General features: G+C 40.8%; 1 protein-coding gene across 3 annotated transcripts, besides 4 other annotated features; it reads right to left on the bottom strand.

Annotated features, from left to right (window-relative positions):
* Positions 1-686: 686 nt before the first annotated feature.
* Positions 687-22,074, bottom strand: YBX1 (Y-box binding protein 1). Of its 3 annotated transcripts, NM_004559.5 has the most exons (8): positions 21,761-22,074; positions 21,026-21,089; positions 10,969-11,002; positions 8,204-8,293; positions 7,548-7,850; positions 7,230-7,312; positions 3,446-3,711; positions 687-2,511 (listed from the first exon to the last, which is right to left on the bottom strand). In NM_004559.5, exons 1-7 carry the CDS (start codon positions 21,924-21,926, stop codon positions 3,477-3,479), a joined length of 975 nt encoding a protein of 324 aa, NP_004550.2. In that variant the 5' UTR covers positions 21,927-22,074; the 3' UTR covers positions 687-2,511; positions 3,446-3,476. The 3 variants fall into 3 exon arrangements, 2 of the variants coding, with proteins under 2 accessions (NP_004550.2, XP_047277451.1); NR_132737.2 differs by lacking the exons at positions 21,026-21,089; positions 21,761-22,074 and adding an exon at positions 21,127-21,356; XM_047421495.1 differs by lacking the exons at positions 687-2,511; positions 8,204-8,293.
* Positions 13,782-13,831: a silencer, noted in NCBI's record as "silent region_766". NCBI's record gives its function as "represses an Ori minimal core promoter by ATAC-STARR-seq in GM12878 lymphoblastoid cells {active_cell/tissue: GM12878}" and the evidence as "EXISTENCE:reporter gene assay evidence [ECO:0000049][PMID:35858748]".
* Positions 21,169-21,318: a silencer, noted in NCBI's record as "silent region_765". NCBI's record gives its function as "represses an Ori minimal core promoter by ATAC-STARR-seq in GM12878 lymphoblastoid cells {active_cell/tissue: GM12878}" and the evidence as "EXISTENCE:reporter gene assay evidence [ECO:0000049][PMID:35858748]".
* Positions 21,429-21,538: a silencer, noted in NCBI's record as "silent region_764". NCBI's record gives its function as "represses an Ori minimal core promoter by ATAC-STARR-seq in GM12878 lymphoblastoid cells {active_cell/tissue: GM12878}" and the evidence as "EXISTENCE:reporter gene assay evidence [ECO:0000049][PMID:35858748]".
* Positions 21,729-21,928: a silencer, noted in NCBI's record as "silent region_763". NCBI's record gives its function as "represses an Ori minimal core promoter by ATAC-STARR-seq in GM12878 lymphoblastoid cells {active_cell/tissue: GM12878}" and the evidence as "EXISTENCE:reporter gene assay evidence [ECO:0000049][PMID:35858748]".
* Positions 22,075-22,185: the final 111 nt, after the last annotated feature.

Genomic DNA, 22,185 nt, shown 5'->3' with positions numbered 1-22,185 from the left:
GTACCGCCCTAGGTCTTCCAGTGCAACGTTCAAAAGAAACTATGACACACTCGCTTTTTTCCTCACTTCCTGCTCTCCTGTGCTCACACTGCTCAAGTTCACTCTGCTCCAAATGGCACATCTCTTCCGGAAGACAAAAAAAAAAAAAGGAATACAGGTTATCTCACAATTGCTAAGGCTGGGGAACCAGGCTCAGTGTCACCATCTAGGTGAGGCAGATAGGAGGAAACCATTGCTGCTGCAGCATCACCAAAGCACAGCGACTACCCTCGCTAGCAAAAGGAGTTTGCATAGCTTCCTAGCAATGTCTCCAGGTCTCATGTTGGTGTATCTGATTGGCAGAACAGGTTCTAAACCTTGATCTTGGCTGCAAGTTTTCTGGGTAGTTTTTGAGATGTATAGCCTCTGTAGTCCTTACAAATAATCCGTAAGTACACAAAATACTGGGCAACAGAACAGGAGACAGTATCTAAAAACATGTACGTAGTTCTGTTTCCAACACTAGCACCTAAGATTGTATTCCCCCAAACAACTGTCCTCCTCAATGTGTTTTCGAGAATCTCATTCTAACATTATTGGATGTTTAACCAATGTTTTTGGTCTTCCCATTTCCATGATATCCTAATACAGATGCTCTTCAATTTATGATGGGTCAATGTCCCCATAAACCACAAGTCAGAAAATCATTAAGTTGAAACTGCATTTAATGTTGGCAACACTGCAGTCAACTTACAATGGTTTCATTTATGATTTTTCAACTCTGTGATGCCATGAAAACAATGTTGATTCAGTAGAAACCGTAACCCCACTAAAAGCCCCTAAGTCAAACCACTGTTTAAGTCAGGGACTGTGTGCGTCTGCAGTTGTAAGTAACAGTTTAGATGCTACCAACAGTTGAAGTTTCAGGTCCACTGCACTCTTGCCAACACAGTATTTTCATGAACACCAGCAAGAAATAGGCTAACTCACTTCTGCAGTACAGATATTTACACTAAGTAGGGTTAAAAAAATTTTTTTTGAGTAGTCTCTTATCAAGTCCTCTGCAAAGAGTTAGTCCCAAGCAGGAGATGACTTCCACAGCACTGCAGGATTCCTGATGTGCCACTCTGGCCTACTCCCGACCCCTACTGTCTGCTTCCCCTGGGCCCTGATAGCTGGCCAGGATGATCTGGAGTGTTTCGGGGCAGCAGTCACTATCAACTACATGACTATTTCACAAAGCAAGCCAAAGAACATCTAACAAAACATTAGAAAACAAAAGCCAGAGAGGCCAGGTGCGGTGGCTCACACCTGTAATCCCAGCACTTTGGGAGGCTGAGGCGGGCGGATCACAAGGTCAAGAGATCAAGACCATCCTGGCTAACACAGTGCAACCCCATCTCTATTAAAAATACAAAAATTAGCTGGGTGTGGTGGCACGCACCTGTACTCCCAGCTACTAAGGTGGCCGAGGCAGGAGAATCGCTTAAACCTAGAGGTGGAGGTTGCAGTGAGCCAAGATTGTGCCACTGTACTCCAGCCTGATGACAGAACAAGACTCCGTCTCAAAAAGAGAAAAGATCAGCCAGACTAGGCTTAGGATTTAAGGTGTTGAGAACCACATAATTACAAGCTCACCAACCTCCATGTTCCTAAGCAGCTTTCCCATGGGTTTTATATTACTTGTTTCCATCTCTAGGACATAAGGAGCTGAACCAATATTTGATGACCACACCAGGCAGTGTGACAGGTTGTCCTAACACTTCAATTGGCATCTTCAATTGACACACTGAAACAAATTCTCCCAAGGTGACAAAACTAAGTGGAGCAGGATGAGAGTCTGGTCGGTCTAGGCTAGAGCAATGCCCTTTTAAACAATGCCTCACAGCCAAAGGGACCCACCCAAAATCTACACTCAAGTCTTTCTTACAAATGAGCTAAATCCTTCAATGAAAAATGGCCAGGTTATCAGAGTATGTATTTTCTAATTTTTAGTATGGGCCCACAGGCATGCCACTTAAAGGATTAGAGATTTTGAGACATTTTACCTGAGGGAATTACCAGTGAGCATCATCTATTTGTAGACTGGGTCAAGCTAAGGGTCCTATAAATAGCTAAATACTTACAAACTAAAGCAAAACTAGACAAATTTACACAAAGACAATTATTTAAGACCTTTATTAACAGGTGCTTGCAGTTTGTTGACTTTTTTGAAAAAATCAAGTTGTAAACTTTTATTACAAATTAAAAATGAAGTTCTTAAAAATCTCAACTTGACCAGATATGAAACAATTTAAAAACCTTTAAAGGCGTATTGAGAAAAACCAGGCTTTTTTAAAAAACACGTTTGTTATTACCAAAAAGAGACGTCTTTAGGTAAAAATAATAAAAACCCCATGCTGCATAGATAATGCAGATAGTTCTATTTATCTGGTCAACGGGCAAAAAGCAAGCACTTTAGGTCTTCAGCTCCAATCTTTTGTTCATTTCTTATTGCTGGAATTTCATATTTCTTCTTGTTGGATGACTAAACTGTAAAGAAAAAAATAAAGATGATCATGTAGAATTCATGGTGATCTTCATTTAGTGTAGTACATGCCCTAGTTTACATTACTTGTGTATTGGGAGACATTAACAGATCTCTTGCCATCCAGCAAATAGTAAACGGGAAAAAACCAAAAGCACCACTGGTTGAATGCTAATTTTGGAGGGAACAACAATCACGTACCTCTCGATATCATGTAAAAAGCGAAATGAAAAAGAATCCCTTAATTTTGGAATTAAGGGTAATAAAAACAAGTGAGCTAATGAGCTAAAGTAACAAGAACGTAATTGTATCATGTGGTCTGCCAGAGAATTATTATTATTAATCTACAGGCAGTTTAAATAAACCATGATAAACCACGTGTCATTCTAGGAGTTTTTTAGACACGAAACACTCTCGTCTTTTTCCGGGAACAACATAAACCAACAAAAAAAAAAAACAATTAGAAATGATTAAAAGATTATATTAATGTTGCCACTTTCTCCAAACAGACTCTATTTGTCACCATCTAGGTTAATTCTAACAGCTATCCCCACTTCCTTTTTGAAATAATGCATAAATAATAATGTAATTAACATATTTCTCAGAATACAGCTAGCAAAACTTTCCTCTGTTTACTAGTGAAATCATAAAATTCATTCAGAAAAGTTGATAGAAAGCACTAATAGTTCAAAATACTCATGAAAATACAGGTCTCCAGTGTCAGAATTGAGAACTAGCTGAAGGGTGGCCAAATATGACTCTGATATTCAATATTCCTAAAATGAAATATTAGGTAATTAAGAATAGGGCAGAACACATTATAAATAACATGGCTTTCATTATCTGATGGAACTGAGGTTTTTCTACTCTTGCATTAATAAAACGAAATGGTCACCACTCACGACTGCCATAAATGGATGGCCATCCAAGCTTGCTTACCCGGATGATGGTAGAGATGGTAAGCCGGCATTTACTCAGCCCCGCCCTGCTCAGCCTCGGGAGCGGACGAATTCTCAGCTGGTGGATCGGCTGCTTTTGTCTCTTTGCCATCTTGTGGTTTAGGGTTTTCTGGGCGTCTGCGTCGGTAATTGAAGTTGCGGCGGTACCGACGTTGAGGTGGCTGCTGACCTTGGGTCTCATCTCCTTGATTTTCTTTATCTTCTTCATTGCCGTCCTCTCTAGGCTGTCTTTGGCGAGGAGGGCCCCTGCAATGAACGGTGTCAAACTTAAGAATGATAAAACCTTCTCTCTTCAACACACCCACCAGTGTAACCAGTTGGTTCACAACTAACTCACCATGTCTGGCCCATTCTGTATCAAGTGGTCTGTAGGCAATTTGTGTAAAGAGATGGGTTTTTTTTTTTGGGGGGGGGGGGATGCTGAGTAGGGGGAAGAGTCTTGCTTTGTTGCCCAGACTAAAGTGCCATGGAATGATGACAGCTCACTGTGGCCTCAATCTCCCAGGCTCAAGTGATCTTCCCACCTCAGACTCCTGAGTAACTGGGACTATAGGCAAGCCCCCCACGTCTCATTAATGTCTGATTTTTAGTAGCGATGTGTTGCTATGTTTCCAAGGCTGGTCTTGAATTCCTGACCTCAAGCTATCCTCCCTCCTTGGCCTCCCAAAGAGTGCTGGGATTACAGGCTTGAGTCTTTTAATCACCAAGATAAAGATACTAAATTTTGGGATTTTCTTTCCCCCAGTGCTCAGAAATGATGGATTCCTGGCCTTTCCTCTGCCCATACTCTGAGCACTCCAGAAAGCCCCAGGCCTTTAGTATCCATGAGTCATCATGGGAATAAATTCACATTTACCTTTGTACATTCTAAAACTCTTTCCCCACATCTTTTGGAACTCATGATGAATCTTCAACAAAATTGTTCTGACTTTTCTCTGCAACCCTACAGTGGTGACTGTTCTAACCTTATTGTGGCTTCTAAATCAACTCTCCCAGTTTCTAAAAACTAGGCTTTCCATCTTATTTTGGATTCTGCTCCATTTACTATCTTTTTCTTACTGCAGTTATTACTAAGGTTCGAGTGTAACAGCTTCTAATAACCTGGGCTTTCAGACTGACCTCCCAGTCCAGCTGTTTTCTACCTGGGTTTTTTCAATTATACCACTCAACTTTCCAATTATGTACCTTCCTATTTTTCTTAGGTAATTCCTTATTGTTTTCTCATTCTTAATCTAGGACCTGTAATACAGCGATTCTATCACCTATTCATCTCACTCCAAGGTTGGGCACAGTGGCTCACACCTGTAATCCTAGCACTTGGGGAGGATCACTTGAGGGCAGGAGTTCAAGACTGCTTGAGTAACACAGTGCAACTCCATTTCTACAAAACAATTTAAAAAAAAAAAAACAACCCTCATTTTCCCCTTTTCTCCCCTCTTTATCCAAGTATAAAGTCTACCACTAATCATATGACCAATCCCTACCCCAGTGTCTTCATCTGGATAAACCAGATCTGGATAAATCAAACCAGATCTGGATAAACCAAATCTGGATAAATCCAACTCTCTGCCCAACCTGAGCCTGATGCCCAAATGGCTAGAAACACAGAGTCAAGCTGGGTGAACTCACTTCTAATTTATGATCGTTATCCTATTACTTATAAATTTACCATCTCTATTTTCTGTTCTAGAGGGTTCTTTGCCCCAAACTTTTCAAACTTCCTCTTTACTTTCGTCTCAATTTAGCAACCAAAGGCTTCCATGTCTTCCCATTAACACATGCGTGCCCATGTATTCTTGTTTCTTACACAGGAAAACGGCAGGTTCCTAACAAAAGGTCAACATTTTCACCTGTGGGCAAAACCCTACCCTCTCTGAGAAAGAAAACAGTTCCAGCAGTCACTTTCCTGCCATCAACTGTTATCCTGGATTGCATTTCAGCCTATAAATGTTATTTCTCAACAAAAAACCTCCCTTTTTGACCCCCCATTTTCCCCTTACTACTATTAGTCTCATTTTCAGCAACACTTGTACTATACTCTGTCTTAAGATTTCCCTTTCAGTTTGCTCTTGAACCCACACCAGTCAGAATTTCACACCATTCCATGCATTAGGGGCAGCATGTTTCATTTACTCTCATTTGAACAAAAGATTCCTGCACAGTTTGGAAAGTCTAGCATTCATTGATAACTTCCAAGCAATTTTATGTTACTTCTGCAACTATCTGGCAGGACTGAGCATTCTAAACATTGAAACACGTAGACATTAAGTCTAACTTAAACCAAAAGGCAAAAACCTCTGCACTGGAGGGGTAACAATGGACAAAGATACCTTTCTAAGAGACAAATCAACCGCAAGCTTGTTTGTCAATATAAAGACAAACAATTTACTCAACGGTGAACTGAAGCACTGAATACAAACACAAAATTATGCTATTTTTAAGGACATCAATGAAACTAGGCAAAACATTTAAGCTCTTCAGTGTAACAAAAGGTAAACCAAAGATTCTGCTGCTGGAACCCATGGACTTAACAGATGGACTGCCATGAGAGGCTATTTTAGACCTACTCTGAAAAATAAAAACCCATCTATCTTCAACATCCAGCATCTGGCTAACACAATCTCCTGGTAGAAAACTGAATCAGAGATCTTCAATTGTGGTAGTGATCAGTTAGGACCTCAGCTCTTTTAACTGAAAACTCAGGACAAGACATATTAATACAAAAAATATGATGACATCAGCTGCTCTTGCAAAACTCTCAATGTACATGTGCTGATAAATACATGTAATACAACCTCGACTAGATTCCCTAGTTCCTAAAACTTCACTAAGTGCTCCAACTTTGGTAAAATTTAAAAACCTATATACAGAAACCCCCTCTTATAGACTCACAGTATATTTTGGATATGTTGGATACTTCTAGAATAATAAACTTGACACTTAAAAATTTGGGGATTTAAAAGTTGCGATTTAAGTGATCAGTTAAGATGCGTTATTACTGTATTGGTTTGATTCTTCAGAGGTACCTGTCAGCTTTTGGGGATCACCTATGAAAACTCAATGCTTTGATATCAAACCCTTAGAGAAACAACTATTACACCATCCTATCCTACCACCGTGGGACTGGGAACACTGCCTCAAAGTATACTACGGCATGGACTAAAATATGCTTGGTTCATGGAATTTTTCCTCGATTACTCTAATAATGACATCTATTAATAAGATTTCTAATACCCACTCAAGTAGATAGTTGTCTAACGACAGACTGGATTTCCCCCCGCAGAATGTAAATTCTTGGTGGAGCAATTTCATTTTGCAACTTTGAGCTGACAACTCCCAACTCCAAAAAAAAGGGGGTACATATCTAAACTGAGAAGTGTTTAGTGGAAGATAATGTATGCCATTTCAAGTGATAACACTGTTGATTCTTCACTAATGCCATGGTACAATTCAGATACTCCTAATGCTTTCCTTTCTCCCTACCAAGGAGGCAGGTTTAAAAGGTGTGGTTTAAAATATTATCTTACCTGTTCAAGGACAGAAAATTTGAAATTCCAAACCCTCATCATTTTCTAAAAAAATTTATGTATAAAGCAGACCTCATCTATACAAGCTGTTTTTAATAGGTTCACCTCTTAGGCATCTGATGAAAGAAAACGTGAAGTGTTAACAGAAAAATGAGTCTGCAGGAGAGGCATGATATTGCTGAGTCCTAACACGGGTTTGAGGAAATTTTAATAGAAACATGTTTACGTGGACCATACCTGCGGAATCGTGGTCTATATCCCCGATACATATTCTGCCTCACTGGTCTACCTTGTTCTCCTGCACCCTGGTTGTCAGCACCCTGAAAAAGACAATGGAAATTAAGCCTACTGGGTCAGTAATATAATAAAAAAACCCAACCAGATAAATCCAAGAGTTAAAAAACAAACAAAACAGACCATCTAGTAATTGTGACTACATTATAAATTAATCCTTTTGGTTCTTACTAGGAATCCAAGTTGCTTTCCATATAATTAACAGCTCTAAACAGTCCTACCAGAACTTATCACATTGCTGTTGTTGATGGTGAAACTTACCTCCATCACTTCTCCCTGCACAGGAGGGTTGGAATACTGTGGTCGACGCCCATAGGGTCTCCGCATGTAGTAAGGTGGGAACCTTCGCCTGCGGTAGGGCCGGCGTTGTTGGGCCTGGCCTTCGGGAGCACTCTCCGATCCCTCGTTCTTTTCCCCACTCTCACTATTCTGGTAATTTTGCTGGTAATTGCGTGGAGGACCCCTACGACGTGGATAGCGTCTATAATGGTTACGGTCTGCTGCATATTTACTGCCTTGAACTGGAACACCACCAGGACCTGTAACATTTGCTGCCTCCGCACCCTACAAAAGCCATTACATATTGATAGTGACAAAGGAAATCAGAACACTTTCAACACTTTCAAAAGGAAATCAGAACATTTTCAAACAAAGCAAAAAACAACAAAGTTAAGGAAAAAAAAGGGGGGGGGGGCGCAACTGCGTGACCAGGGGTGCACAGAAATGACTAAATATCAGTTCCTCACTGTTCTGAAGAGATTGCCCTCTAACTGCAGCCAGAACATTAGGCTTGATGCACCTGTGTTCATGAGGTCACCTGAACACATCCATCCACATTAGAGCCACCATCCTAATGGATGAGACCTCCAAAATATTTCCATACTGAAGTCAAACCTTTACACAAAAAGCATCCTCACCTTTTCTCCTTCAACAACATCAAACTCCACAGTCTCTCCATCTCCTACACTGCGAAGGTACTTCCTGGGGTTATTCTTCTTTATGGCAGTCTAGTAATATCACATTCCAAAAATAGATTAACAGGGGAGAATAATGTGCTTTTTCATTTAAAATGTACCAGAGTCAATATTATTTTAGCTTGGATATACACTTAAGATTTGCTTTAAATAAGACCAAACCATCAATAAATTTAGGAAAGCGGGGACCACACTATCCCCAACTTCAACAAAAACACTCCAATCATACAAGGCCCCAGCATTGTACCACTATTTACAAAACTAAAACAAGTAATTTAACACTCAAGACAGACACATCATTTTAAAAACTGCTTTTTGCAAAAGCATTATATATAACTTTTAACAAATGAGGATATCCATCTATCCCCTGAGGACTGCACTTAATAGGAGAAGGTGGCCCCACACTGCGTCAGTTTAGATGACAGGCGAGTTTGGTTTTGCATGCTTCAAAGCTGACCAAACCAACTTTGCCCCTGTGTTACCGTATCAAACTCAATTACAAATGTCAACCAAAATCCCTTCCAATCTGATAATACATCAGTGGAAATGCAATTCATGTGTATTAACTATGTCATTCTTTATATGATCTGACTGCATGGAATTGTTAGTTATCACCTCCCCAGAATTCAATAAATCTTGTATTAGAGACTTGTTGCTTCTACTTTCTCCAGACTGTTAAGAGAAGGGAGGAAGAGTAACATCTCACGTTTCTATGAAATTTTTTTGCAACATTCTTTCACTTACTATCTATTCAATCTCATTATGAGACAGGACATGTGAAAGTATTGTTAATCCCATTACACAGATAATGTAACAGGCTTTAAAGTTAGGTGACTTGCCCAAGGTCACACAGTTAGTAAGGAGACTTTCTAAACCCAGGTATTGGGTCTCCAAATCCCATGTTCACTCCAAATCTCAGCTATATCCATTACAGGATCACTCATGCATTTCCATTGCAGAGGAGACAGGACAATCAACGAATCTGAGGCCAATTAAGTGAAGCTGCCCAGAACTGCAGTCTCCCTGATACACCACTAAGACCTGAGCAGCCAAAGTCCCAAGAAACAACTACATGTTGAAACCACTTCCAAAAAAATGAAAGCATATTGGTGGCACCTTGTGAATCAGTACAACTGGGTGAGTTGAGTCAAATAATTGATCTCATCTGTCATCTAAACTGTCACATAGTTTTCATACCTTTCAGATATAGCCAACTATCAATTACCTGCAGTCATAGGGGATAGCAGAATTATGGATAATTAAAATCCCAACTCTTTATTTTTATCAACATCTCCACCCCTGCCCCAACCCCAACCCTTAAGGGTTGCCAACAGGCAACAAGACCGAGAAACTTTGCTGTCTCTTGTTCCTAAGTCTACACATTCTTTTGAACATGCAGAAGGGGAGTAAGGAACAGTTGAGCTGTGTTCTTCCAAACAAGAATACCAATTTTATAAAACATCTACTTTAAAACAACATTTTGTCTGAAGTAGTCCTGTATTTATTTACATTTAGAATTTAAATGATTCCATAATTACATTTGACCCTGAACTACCTGATTGGGTTTGGGTGTACTAGAAATTGATATAGCTTCCTCCTTGTCATCAAATACTGTGTAGGACACTTCAGTGAGCTACAAAGCACCAACCTATGACAGCCCTTCCTATGAAACATGCTGCCATAAAAGCTAGTATCTAATTAAATGTGAGTATGGATATTAACTTTTAGGTCTTTTGATTTCTGGATTATAGTACAAAAAAGTAGTTATGGTCTCTAATTTTAATACAAGTTGACAATATTTCAAAAGCCTTAGTGAGAAAACTGATAGCACAAACATATTTTTTCCTACTCATTTCGTATCTGTGAGGATAAGTACATTCAATGTAGCCTACAGCATATCTAAATTTGAAGTATTAACATACACTTGGCAGTGGTTTACATTAGTAATAATCTTAATTCCTGAATGTGCAAACATTTTCCCTAAATGATACTTAGGGAGAAAGTTCACTATGCAGTACTCATCAGTACTCATCCTATGTTAACAGTTTTCTCTTCCCAAATCACTGGAAGCCAATCTAAAAATTATTTAATGAGCAGCTGCCAACCTTGTCACACTTCCCCCCACTTAACCTTAAACTAGTGAAATTTTTTCATTTTCCAAGCCAGCCAAAACTCTCCAAAGGTTTAAAAAAAAAAAAAACCCAATACCCATTCAAAGTGATTTAAAGTAAGCAGAAGGCTCTTTATGCTACTTTTCAAGTACTCACTTCAATTACTATGTTTTGCAGGTCTGTCTTATTTACCCTTGATTATGGAGATTTGTCCCTACAGGTACACCTAAAAGCCTTTGAAAACTTCTTGCCAAAGTTTCTGTGTATTTATAGCAACATTATTTGTTCAACTTTAGAATCATGGAATAATCTGTTCATCTGAAATTAGGTATAAATATTTAATGCAGTGAGTTTGACTCAACATTTGAGAAAGCCACAGCTGTTGACAAAATTCCAATTTGAAATGTCTAGGATAATTAAGTCAACTCTAACACATTTCCACGTATACATTTTTAAGCATGCTACTACTCCTGTCGTAAGTAAATAAACTGGTGGTTGGACTTAACCTTTTATAAGGAACAAAAGCTGAGAACATATCTAACCTTTTCTTCTTACAATCCTTGAATCAGAAGTGCAAATATCTACACAAGCACTCACCTGGTGTACAAATACATCTTCCTTGGTGTCATTCCTGCAAGACAGAACCAAGTTGAACAAGTTAGAAAATGAAATAAATCTCATGTTGTCAAAGATTAATTTTCCCAGAGACTCTCTGGCTGCCAATTAGGTACCAGGAAATTTGGCAAAAATCAAAAAACACAAGCCACCATGCTCTCTGCTTTCAAGACTTCAGCAGTTGCAAACAGTTGTAGCCTCATTACCCGTAAGATAGGCAAAAAAAAAAAAAAGTCTAAGAAATTAAAGTGTGACCTACTGAGCCATAATTAAGAGGGTAGCAATGACTAGCAAAATATATTCTGCCCCTCCTTATCCTATTAAACATTAACTGTTCTAGCACACCCTCCTCTTACCTCTAGAGCATGGTTACCAACAGAAGTAGTAGTTACATTCTCACCTTATCCTGCATCTCCCAACTACCAACTTTCCTTGAGATCATAAAAATGAGAACCCCCCTCCCCACCAACAGAATGTATAACGCAAAGAGTGAAACCTAATGGGAACTGTGACCTTTGGGTGATAAGGTATGTTTGAATGTAAGAAAAGCCCAGTTATAAAAGCTACTCCACAAGTCCAGACAAGGACTGATGAAGGTTTAGACCACGGAGCCATGTATAAAAAGACATTTGAGATCTCTTTTTGAGGCAAAATGAGAAACTTTGTGGATGACTGGATGTCAGAAGCGAGGGGGTAGAGAATAATCTCACTTTTTAGCCTGGATATTGGGATTAAGGTGATAACACGAGGAGCAAGAATCACCACTGGAGAAGGAAACGGATTTCCAGGCCTGCAGTGGCCTGCCTCACCCTCTTTACTCCGTCAGGTCAGAGTGAGAAAAAGCTCAGTAGTAGCTCTAGCGTTTAATGACAAAGGGAACAAAGGTTACAATGAACTGGACAAACTGGCTTACTGACTGTTAGCTTCTTGCTGAACTGGGGGCAACATATGCATCAAAGGATCCACATAAAATTAACTTTAAATCTGACCTGTAAATTATAGCTTGGATTATTATAAGAACATTTTTAATTGATGGGAACAGGATAATTAAAAAAACAGAACAGGTAAACTGTAAAAGCGACTTAAGGCAAGTGACTGAAAACTGACCTTTCAAGCTAGATGATTAGGATTGCCTAGGGAAATGATGGCTGTACCTAATGTCCATCTGTCCATAACTCCATAGGCACCACAAAAACAGATTACAGCCATCATTTATTAGTTCTGCTCTCCAATATGACTGAATTTCAAACTCTAAGGCTCTAAGGGGAAATACAATAAAAAACTGGTAGAGTAAGAAAGGCAAATACAGGCAAAGTCTAGAATAGTGATTTTCAACAGGGGCAATACTTCCCCTGGCAGGGTATTTAAAGTTTTTCCAGTCCGGGTGCAGTGGCTCACGCCTGCAATCCCAGCACTTTGGGAGGCCAAGAGTTCAAGATCAGCCTGGCCAACATCGTGAAACCTCGTCTCTACTAAAATTACAAAAAATTAGCCAGGCGTGGCTGTGTGTGCCTATAGTCCCAGCTACTCTGGGGGGTGAGGCAGGAGAATTGCTTGAAGCTAGGAGGCGGAGGTTACAGTGAGCTGCTGCACTCCAGCCTGGGCAACAGAGTGAGATTCCATCTCAAAAAAAATAAAAAAATAAAATTTTTTTCCAAAGATAGGGAGCACTATCTGCATTAATGGAAGTGGTGGGTGTTAGTTGCTAGAAGACTATGTAAAGATTTGGTATAGAAAGTAAATTTGTTTATTGTTATCTGAGTCATGTATGTATTTCTGTACTGTTTTAATACGCATTAAATTCACTAAAAATGCAGCTTCTGTGGAGAATTTTTCATTACTGATAATGCTACTCATGGTATCTGGGTAATACATCATTTCTTTATCAATCCATTTTGTGGTGGCTCTGACTGTTTGTTATGCCTTCTAATGTAGTTACAACAGGTATTCACATATCAATATCATCATACCCGGCAATAAAAATAATTAAAAGTAGTTACGTGGCGAGACCCTATATCTATAAAAAATAAAAAATTAGCCGGGCCTCCATTCAAGTCCCGGAAATGAGGGTGCAGTGAGCTATAATCATGCCACTGTACTCCATCCTGCGCAACAGAGCAAGACCCTGTCTCTGCACAGAGAAAGCACAAGGCTGCCATTACACACAGGGTAATGTCACTCCTGCAAAGACAGGGAGGTGTTTTGTGGGTACATAGATAGATATGTGAAACTAACACAGTTCACTGACCAGTGTCATGACAGTAAAAACAGTATTGCAAAAGGAATACTTAGCCAGGGCCTCAAGCTCAAGGTATTTACTGAAAACGTCCTCAATTGCAATAAAAACATTATACCATTAAAAAGAGTGATTTGTTGAACCAGTGATTTAAATGTATTGATCTGCTTTGAATTTGCAACCAGCCAGAATCTCTAGTTTAAACTGGCAGTTATAACAAAAGAGACCCTCAAATATTAGACAGCTGCAGTGCAGCTTTCTGGGTGCAGGTGTCACTCTCTGCCAGCCATCACTATTCTTTTCTGTTCAGTTTTTCTCTCAGGTGTTTGCTGGGAAATTAACACTGGAACTGACCCTTTTCCGGCAGTGAATGTAAGCTCTAGCTCCCCCATCTACTAGAAAGAAATGTCTTCAAGATGTAGAAATAAGGAATATTCTGAAAATAAAAATTATACAGTAGTAAAGATAATTCAGAAAGAAAAAGCTACCTGTTAGAATTTCCAGTCTAAATGGCACAGGGTAGTTAGGGAGAAAAGGGGTTGGAGAAAGAGAAACTATGACTAAAGATGAGAGGTATGAACAAGCTGTCAAGTTCCTATGGGCTAAAGCTGGGGCAATCAGGCCCTGAACTCCAAAGCTGGATAAAGTCTTTCTTTCTATTCTTCTTGGCCACCTGCACAGTCTGACACATACATATGTACAATTAGATTTGCAGGTCACAGGAGTGCCCTGCATTGTTTTAACTAGAAATAAAAAGTATTAGTCTAAATGTGGTTCTGGTGCCCTGTATATATGTAACAATATAGGACCCCCAAAATAGATTTTGCTTCTGGTGAATCTTATTCATTGGGTTAGTGTATGACTGTCTATAATATTTTCCATTTGTATTATTACATTGGGAAAAACATTTTTATCACTTTCTATTGTTAAGAAAATGGAAAACTTAAATATGGTGTTAAAAATGGAAATATATGTGATATTTGCATTATTAAACCCCTTTGCAGATCTTAAAAAAAAAAAAAGAAAAGAAAAAGAAATAACAGTACTCAATTTTTTTTTGAGATGGAGTCTCACTTTGTTGCCTAGGCTGGAGTGCAGTAGCGATCTTGGCTCACTGCAACCTCTGCCTTCGGGGTTCAAGTTCTTGCACTTCAGCCATGAGTAGCTGGGATTACAGGTATGCACCACCACGCCCTGCTAGATTTTTAGTCTTGACTCAACTATTAACAGCTGTGTAACCTAGGAAAGCTGCCTCATTGGCTTTTTTACCTGCAAAATGAGAAAAACTACACTAAACACTTAATAACTTACATTACTAAGGTAGGTACTCAAATCTTTTTAGTATTTATTGGGCATTTACTATTCACTAATACTAGCCAGATTTCTAAATTAAAATCTAATTGCTACCACTCCTATACTATGGCCTATCCAGATTGGTAAGGGTCTTAAAAATAGACAAAATGCAACTCAAAATGGGAAAACAAAGGCAAAAAAATTTAACTTCCCTGGAAAACTTTTTAGTAAGTCAAAAGACAATTACAGCTTGCCAGATAATTCTCCATGCCACAGGAACTAGGAATTCTAGCATTTGCTTTTCATGGCCCAATCCATCCAAACTCCCGGACTCTACTCCAGCATGTTCACCATGTTTGACCCCCCTCCCACTCCTTTTAAAACATAACTATCTTTATCCTAGCTGTATATCTACATAAAAAATAAGCTAAATTTTAGAAAACTTTTTTGCCAATCCACAGTATTGCCTTAAATAAGACTTATTATACATAAATTTATCCGTAACTAAATGCTCTTATACTACTACTTTGTTGCAGATCACCAGACCACACTAGTCTAACACCTTAATTCACGTAACTGCATACACTAATTTACAATCCTGTGGTTATAAAAACTCCAGGATTTACCATCTATATGCTCCATAACCTAAAGCAACCAGATACCAATTTCCAAGCCTTGTAGATGACTGTAAGATAATAATGTCCACTTATCTTTGTATTTCTTCTCTATTAAACACCCTTCACACCCAACAGACTCACTTCTGTTTCCCACATATTGTCTATGATTCTGCCTTCGGACAAACTGTATGTTTCCAAGGGCTAAGACTGGAGGGTAGCAAACTCAGCAACTGCAGCCCCAGGACTAGGGGGACAGGAAGGTAATACAGTGTATCCTTGAATAACTCAGTATCTATGAGGGTGGATAGAAGTTTGAGGTGCCAACCTGCTGCACAGTTGAAATCTGCCTGTAACTTTTGACTCTTCCAAAATTTAATGGCTTACTCGTGACTGGAAAGCCTTACTGGTAACATAAATCCTTAACACATTTTCTGTCTTATATGTATTATATACTGTATTCTTGCAATAAAGCTACAGAAAAGAAAATGCTAAGAAAGTTGTAAGAGAAAATACATGTACAGTACTGCACTTATCGATACGGTAAGTGTACATCTGTCTGAAAGGTAATTCCAGCTGTAGACCTCATCTATAGCACATATCGAGCAACTGAACTTTTTCTTACAATGCCATGACTTTTCTCAGCATCACTAGCGCCACTTTGCATGGGTCCCATGGTGCTATTGAAGACTTACAGTATTGCACTAAACCACAATACCTGTGTACTACAAGTTCTTTTTACTGACATGCAATTTACTGGAGAGATAAACTGTTCATGTGAAGATGATTAGCGTCACATGGCATTTTAAGGGGCTCACTGCAGTAGCAATAGGCAGTGGCTACATATTATAATAGTACAATATTACTACAGTGAATGTCGTGCAGTTATGATTTAATGCTGCCTGAATCTTTATGTTTGTTTACATTTCTCAACTGCAAATGGCTGTATTAACTTTCTAATGCATTTGTGTACATTTTATGGTAGTAAATAATAAAACAGACTAGTATCTACAACATACTCAACTTTTCCTTATTTTGGGGGATACTTCTTGGCTATGTGGTTCATCTGAAGTTTTCAGGTTGTTGCAAATCTCCAAACATTTTTCCAATATATTTATCAAAAAAAATCTGTGTGTAAGTGGACTTGTGTGGTTCAAACTCACATTGTTCACGAGTCAAACTGGATACTAGTTCTCTATCCTAGATTTCAAGAGTAAAGGATTGTACTTTGGGAGGACACAGGGAGTGGGACCTACTAGTATTCTCCAAGTCACGTATCAGTGACTTGGTGAACACGGATGACTTCTTGCCAGCTTAAGATCAATGGTTAATATAACCAGCATACAAATCTCTCCTAATGTCTCCTGCATACATGTCATTGATGTTTGTCTTTAGGGTTCCAGTTTGGAACCTTCGACATCTCTCCCTTAGCAGCACCTGCAGAAAAGTCTTTAAACCTTCCCTAGTGCCAAAACATTTTGTCAGTTATGTTACGGTCTACCCATGACTTATGTGGCTTAGCAATGGATCTACTGTGATCAAGTTAAGATCAGTGTGACTTTAACAGCCCAAGAGATTTTTGGTAATGACATCCTTCCAAAGGTTTACACTTCTATTAAGAACCACACATTTGGGAGGCTGAAGCTGGAAGATCACTTGAGCCCAGGAGTGCAAGACCCATATGGGCAACACAGAGAGACTCCACTTCAAACAACCAACAACCACACAGTAAGTACTTTACACCGCCACCTTTAAAAAAGAAAAAAAAATCACCCTTTAGAGGCCGGGCGCAGTGGCTCACACCTGTAATCCCAGCACTTTGGGAGGCCTAGGCGGGTGGATCACCTGAGGTCAGGAGCTTGAGACCAGCCTGGCCAACATGGAGAAACCCTGTTTCCACTAAAAATACAAAATTAGCCTGTGTGGTGGCGGGCGCCTGTAATCCCAGCTACTCGGGAGGCTGAGGCAGGAGAATCGCTTGAACCTGGGAGGCGGAGTTGCAGTGAGCCAAGATCGTGCCATTGCACTCCAGCCTGGGTGACAAGAGTGAAACTCCATCTCAAGAAAAATCACCCTTTAAAAAGGCAATATTCAGTCTTACCTTGCAGGCCATACAAAAAAAAAAGATTAAGGGAGATAAGGTGCAACATTCTCTCCTTTAATTCTTCACCTCCCAGTATCAGGAATTAAGCAAGTCCTTTTATTTGTATAGCTGACCTACATGCTAAACTAGAACTTTTAACAATCCCAAACTTCACAAAGTAGATAGTGAAAGGCAGAAAACTTTTCAAATCCAGGACCTAGCAAGTCAGCAGACAAGAGCCCCAGTGACATACTTGGATCATTTAAGAGTCTTTCAACGGCTAAAAATAATCACCCTAAGAAATTATCTGTAACTATGTGGACAACAACCAAATTGAAAATGGCTAGGGTCTATTTCAGAGACAGCATAAGAGCAGTTGGTGAACACTAACTCCAGAGTCAAAAAACAGTTCCAATCCTGCCACTTATCACCTATGCTTATGGGGACAAGTAACAACTCCTTTGTGCCTCAGAATGACAGTACCTACGCCTCAAAGGTTTTTAAAGATTAAGTAAATTGGCTCATTTTAAGCACTTACTATAGACCCTAGTATAAATACTTGTTAGCTGTATCTATTTTCACCAACATGTGTTGGAAGTCACCTATCAGTTATGTACATATGGAATCCCCACAAGGGAGCCCCCACCCCAAAGGGAGACTAAACCTGATAGGCGTGACTAAAGAGAGATAGCCAAACCTTTCCCTGGCTTGGTTTATTACATCTTCCTAGACCATGGGTAATAAACTCAAATGCATACACAGAGGCCAGGCGTGAAGGCTGTCGTAAAAAAAGTATACCCCACCTAAATGTGGTGACAATATGGCCAGGTGGTTTTTACTTATGTGGAAATACAGGCCCCCAAAGCCAGCTAAAGTTCAGATCTTAAAAATATAATAATCTGGATTACTTGGTGTTATCTCCTGAATTATAAATGTTAGTAATTAATCCCAATTCCTTTAAAAAATACTGTACTGTCTAATCAAAGCATCTGGGAGTAGTTTTAGCCAGAAGGTCACAAATTTGTGACCTCTGCTCCAAATTCTTTCACCTCAAAACATTAAGAATTATTAATTTAAACATTTTAAGTACTCTGGAAACAGAAAAATATTCCTATTCTGGTCACTATAAACTGTTGCCAATTCATGGTAATCTTTGGTGAATATGGATCAATACTCAACCACTAACAAAATTCAACAGTAATCTGGGGGGAGCTAATAAACCCCTCTAGTCACATTCTCCGATTATGTTTTGTAGACACAGTTCACAAAAGAATAACTCAATGAATTTCTTAGAATTTCTAGATTACACAGTCTAACAAAATAAAGCCAAAACTTCTGCTATTTTTAAAAGCTCTATGCTCATGTTACTTAGCACCTTCTTCACAATATAACCATCAGGGAGAAGCCCTTTCATGAATTAATTCTAACAAGGTTGTAACAATTCATCAGGTGGTAATTCAGGCTGGAATAAACACATTTACAATGAAATTATGTCTTTAAAGGCAGAAAATTTACATACAATATTGTAATTATAAAAATTCCTTACAATCCTAGCATATATAATCCAGCGCATCCAAAAACCCCAATTAAAAGTCGTCACAATAGTCATCCCGAACACTGCACCCTCTCCTTTATACAGAAAACAGCACGTTATGTGTCAGTCTGTCTCCCTCCCTCATAAGAGACAGGTGCCTCCAGCCAAGTCTATTTGTTCCACTACACGAACTACATATAGAACCAACTGCTAGCTTCCAAAGTGATTTCTTTTATCACATACATTTTCCTTAATTAAAGCAAATCTTCCCTGTATTTAATTGGAGTCAGATTTTACAGCATCTTATTAAAAAAGTCCCAGAATCATTAAAACCAGTTCAGAAGCATAAAGAACATTTTAACCAGTTAATTTGACAAAATAATTGAGGTTAGGATAGTCCAAACAAAGGACCATCAAAAGCCAATTCATAACTTGCCCTGGAGGATGACCAATTGAGTTGATTCCAATTCAGAATAGAGATATTCAATGAACAGTATCTCATGGACTAAATACTTAAAAAATGTAAAGATATTACTCTTATTCTGGACAAAACTGTTGATTTCAAAAAATGTCATAACCTATGCCTACTTAAAAAAAATGCAGCGAAACAAGGCACATGCTAAAACTTCTTCAACACATACAAAACCTGCAATCTATCCGCTGAAAAGGCTGCAAATTTGCACACCAGAGTTACCATTACATTGGGTCAAGGGTTAAAAGCAGTGATTTTGAAGGTATGGCCCGAAGACCATTATCATTCCTGTTAAAAATGTACCCAGACCTAATGAATCCAAGGCTCAGAAGGAGGAACTCACCACTTACATCACACCCTCCCAAGGTAAGCACACTTAAATTTGAAAACCACTGGTTTAAGGGTTAGACTAGTAACGATAATCAGAGTAAGACAGAAATACAAACTAAAACACTAGAAAGTTCAGAGAGATCAGTTAAAAAGCTATCAGTATGCCAATTATATATAAGCATTCCCTTCCTTCTTGCTAGTAAGCCATTATCAAAAAATTAATGAAAAACGTAGTTTCGGCCAGCCAGGAAAGCAAACAGTATATAACAAGATGGAAAATCCTAAGATTTTGGAAGAAACAAAATATTTTCCCACAATTGCAAAAGTAGAGAATAGATCACCAAATGCTTATCTCTTACTCTGAGTGTTTCCACAATACTCTATGATTGATTAATGAACAGTTTTTCATCAGGCAATGATTCTGTCCTTAAGCTTGATTTTGCCCATTTGTTGTCCATTCCACATTGTTCTTTTAATCATCTGCTTAGGTCTTCTACAGTAAGCAAGCAAGACAATGCTGAGATGGCACTAAGTACCATACCTGTGAGGCCAAGATTGCTACTGGCATACCCAGTGCTCTGCACCCATGTAACTAGCACTACTAGCCTTGGCAGCCATCTTGAAAATGATGCCCGGCTTACAAGGGAGCCCATGGAATACAGTGCGTCTACTGCACGTTACCACCACCACTCCTACAAACAACCCGAAGGGTAAGTCCTAAAGACGTGTCTGCAGCTTTGCCTTCAAACAGGAAGAAAAATGTCAAGTTACCAGTGACTATGGCCACTCTAATAAGCTACAGCCAGGGATCTAACAGAAATCGACTTAACCAGTTATGATTCTAGGACAAGGAAGAATGAAAAATAAGAACGGAAGAAGGAAAAAAAACCACTTTCTTGTAAATATATTATTTACTGGATGAGCAAATAAAAACAGTTCTCTCTGGTCAAAGCTGTGCTAAGACAAAATTTATCTCAGGTATTAAAATGAAACGTGAAACAAAGGCAATACAACCTCTCGGTAAAGATGACAAAACCTCATATAGTCAAATCCTCTTACCCTAAAACGTTAACAATGTATAAATATCCGATGTCAGTGGATCACATTCTCAAATACCGAGTTCAATAAAGTAGAAAAAGATGACAAGGATAAAAATGTACTGGACCGTAGTTTCCCGTTTACCCTGTTAAGGAATGGCTCATTCACTCCGCTTGCCTTTTGAATTGCTTTGTACTGTGACGAAGCCTTTTAAGTTAGCTTCAAATTAATATTTAGCTGCAAAACAAAGGCATTCTCTAGATCCACTAATCCCTAATCAAGGAAAACAACAACAACAAAAAATCATACTAATACACCAGAGGTAGTAAACGCCTTTCAGAACAGAGCTGTGGATTGGGGCTTCCCAAGCCCCGAGAAGCCGACAGAGCAGGAAGCAAGCAAGAAGGTGGGATGGAGGCTTCAGAGCCCGGCAGCTCACCTGTTGATGAAACCATATCCGTTCCTTACATTGAACCATTTTACTGTTCCCAAAACCTTCGTTGCTGGAAAAGAAAACAAAGCAAAACAAGCCACGATTACCAGCTATCCTTTTCCAAATCCGCCCGGCTTGGGCATCCGGTCCCTCGCACGCCGGCCGCCGCGGCCACCTGACAGCCCTTTCTCTCCACCGCCCGGGTGCGGGGCCACGCAGTCGCCGCCGCCGCCGCACACGTGGGTGAGTCTGAAGCGCGGGGCGCTCCAGGGCAGGCCCGGGGCGCGGGCCCCAGGATGGGTGTGTGCGCAGGCCGCGGACGGAGAGCACGTGAGGGAAGGGGAAGCCGCTCCGGCCTGCGTAGGCGGTGCGCCGCGCCCTCCGAGCACACGCGGAAGGGAGCTGGGTGGGGGTGACGCGAACAACGGCGTGCGGGCCCGAGCGCACGAGGCCGGTCGGCGGGGAGGGGACCCCGTCGCACACGCGGTCGGCGGCGCGCGGCCGCAGGGGGAGGGGCGCGCGGCCGCGCGGGGTCCACAGGGGGCGCGGGAGGCAGTGCGCGCGCGCCTGCCGGGCGGGTCCCCGCGAGAGGGAGTGAGGGGGGGACGGGGGGGATGGGCGGCCGCGCGCCGCGGAGTCGGTGCCCACCGGCCGCGCGCCCGCCGGCTCGCCCAGCTCCGGCTAACGGTTCCGCTGCTGGGCTGCCCGAGGGCCCCACCCCCGTCCCTGTCCGGTCCTCACCGATGACCTTCTTGTCCCCGCCGGCAGGCGCCGCCGATGTGAGGCCGCCCGGGCCACCGCTCCCTGCGCCGCTGCCCGTAGTGCCGGGCTTGGTGTCGGCGGCGCTGAGGGCGGGGGCGGCGGGGGGGGCGGCGGGCGGCTGCTGGGTCTCGGCCTCGCTGCTCATGGTTGCGGTGATGGTGACTGGGGCCGGCTGCGGCAGCTGCGGCTCCTCCCGGGGTGTGATGGTAACTAGGCCGGCGGCGGCGGTGGGGCTGCTCAGGGCTCTCTGGGGTCCGCTCTCCGCTCCCGCTACCGATCGAACTAGCGAGAATGGCGGGACAGGCGGGATAAGCCCTACGAGCGACCCGCCCTAGGCGTTGTTCACTGGCCAGTGGTACTGTCAATCTGCCCACCTGACCCCAATCCCTAGCTTCTATTGGCTA

Source organism: Homo sapiens, chromosome 1, assembly GCF_000001405.40.
Source record: "Homo sapiens chromosome 1, GRCh38.p14 Primary Assembly".
NCBI classification, from domain to species: Eukaryota; Metazoa; Chordata; class Mammalia; order Primates; family Hominidae; genus Homo; species Homo sapiens.
Note: the sequence above shows the minus strand (reverse complement) of the source record. Positions and strands in the feature narration are given on the sequence as shown.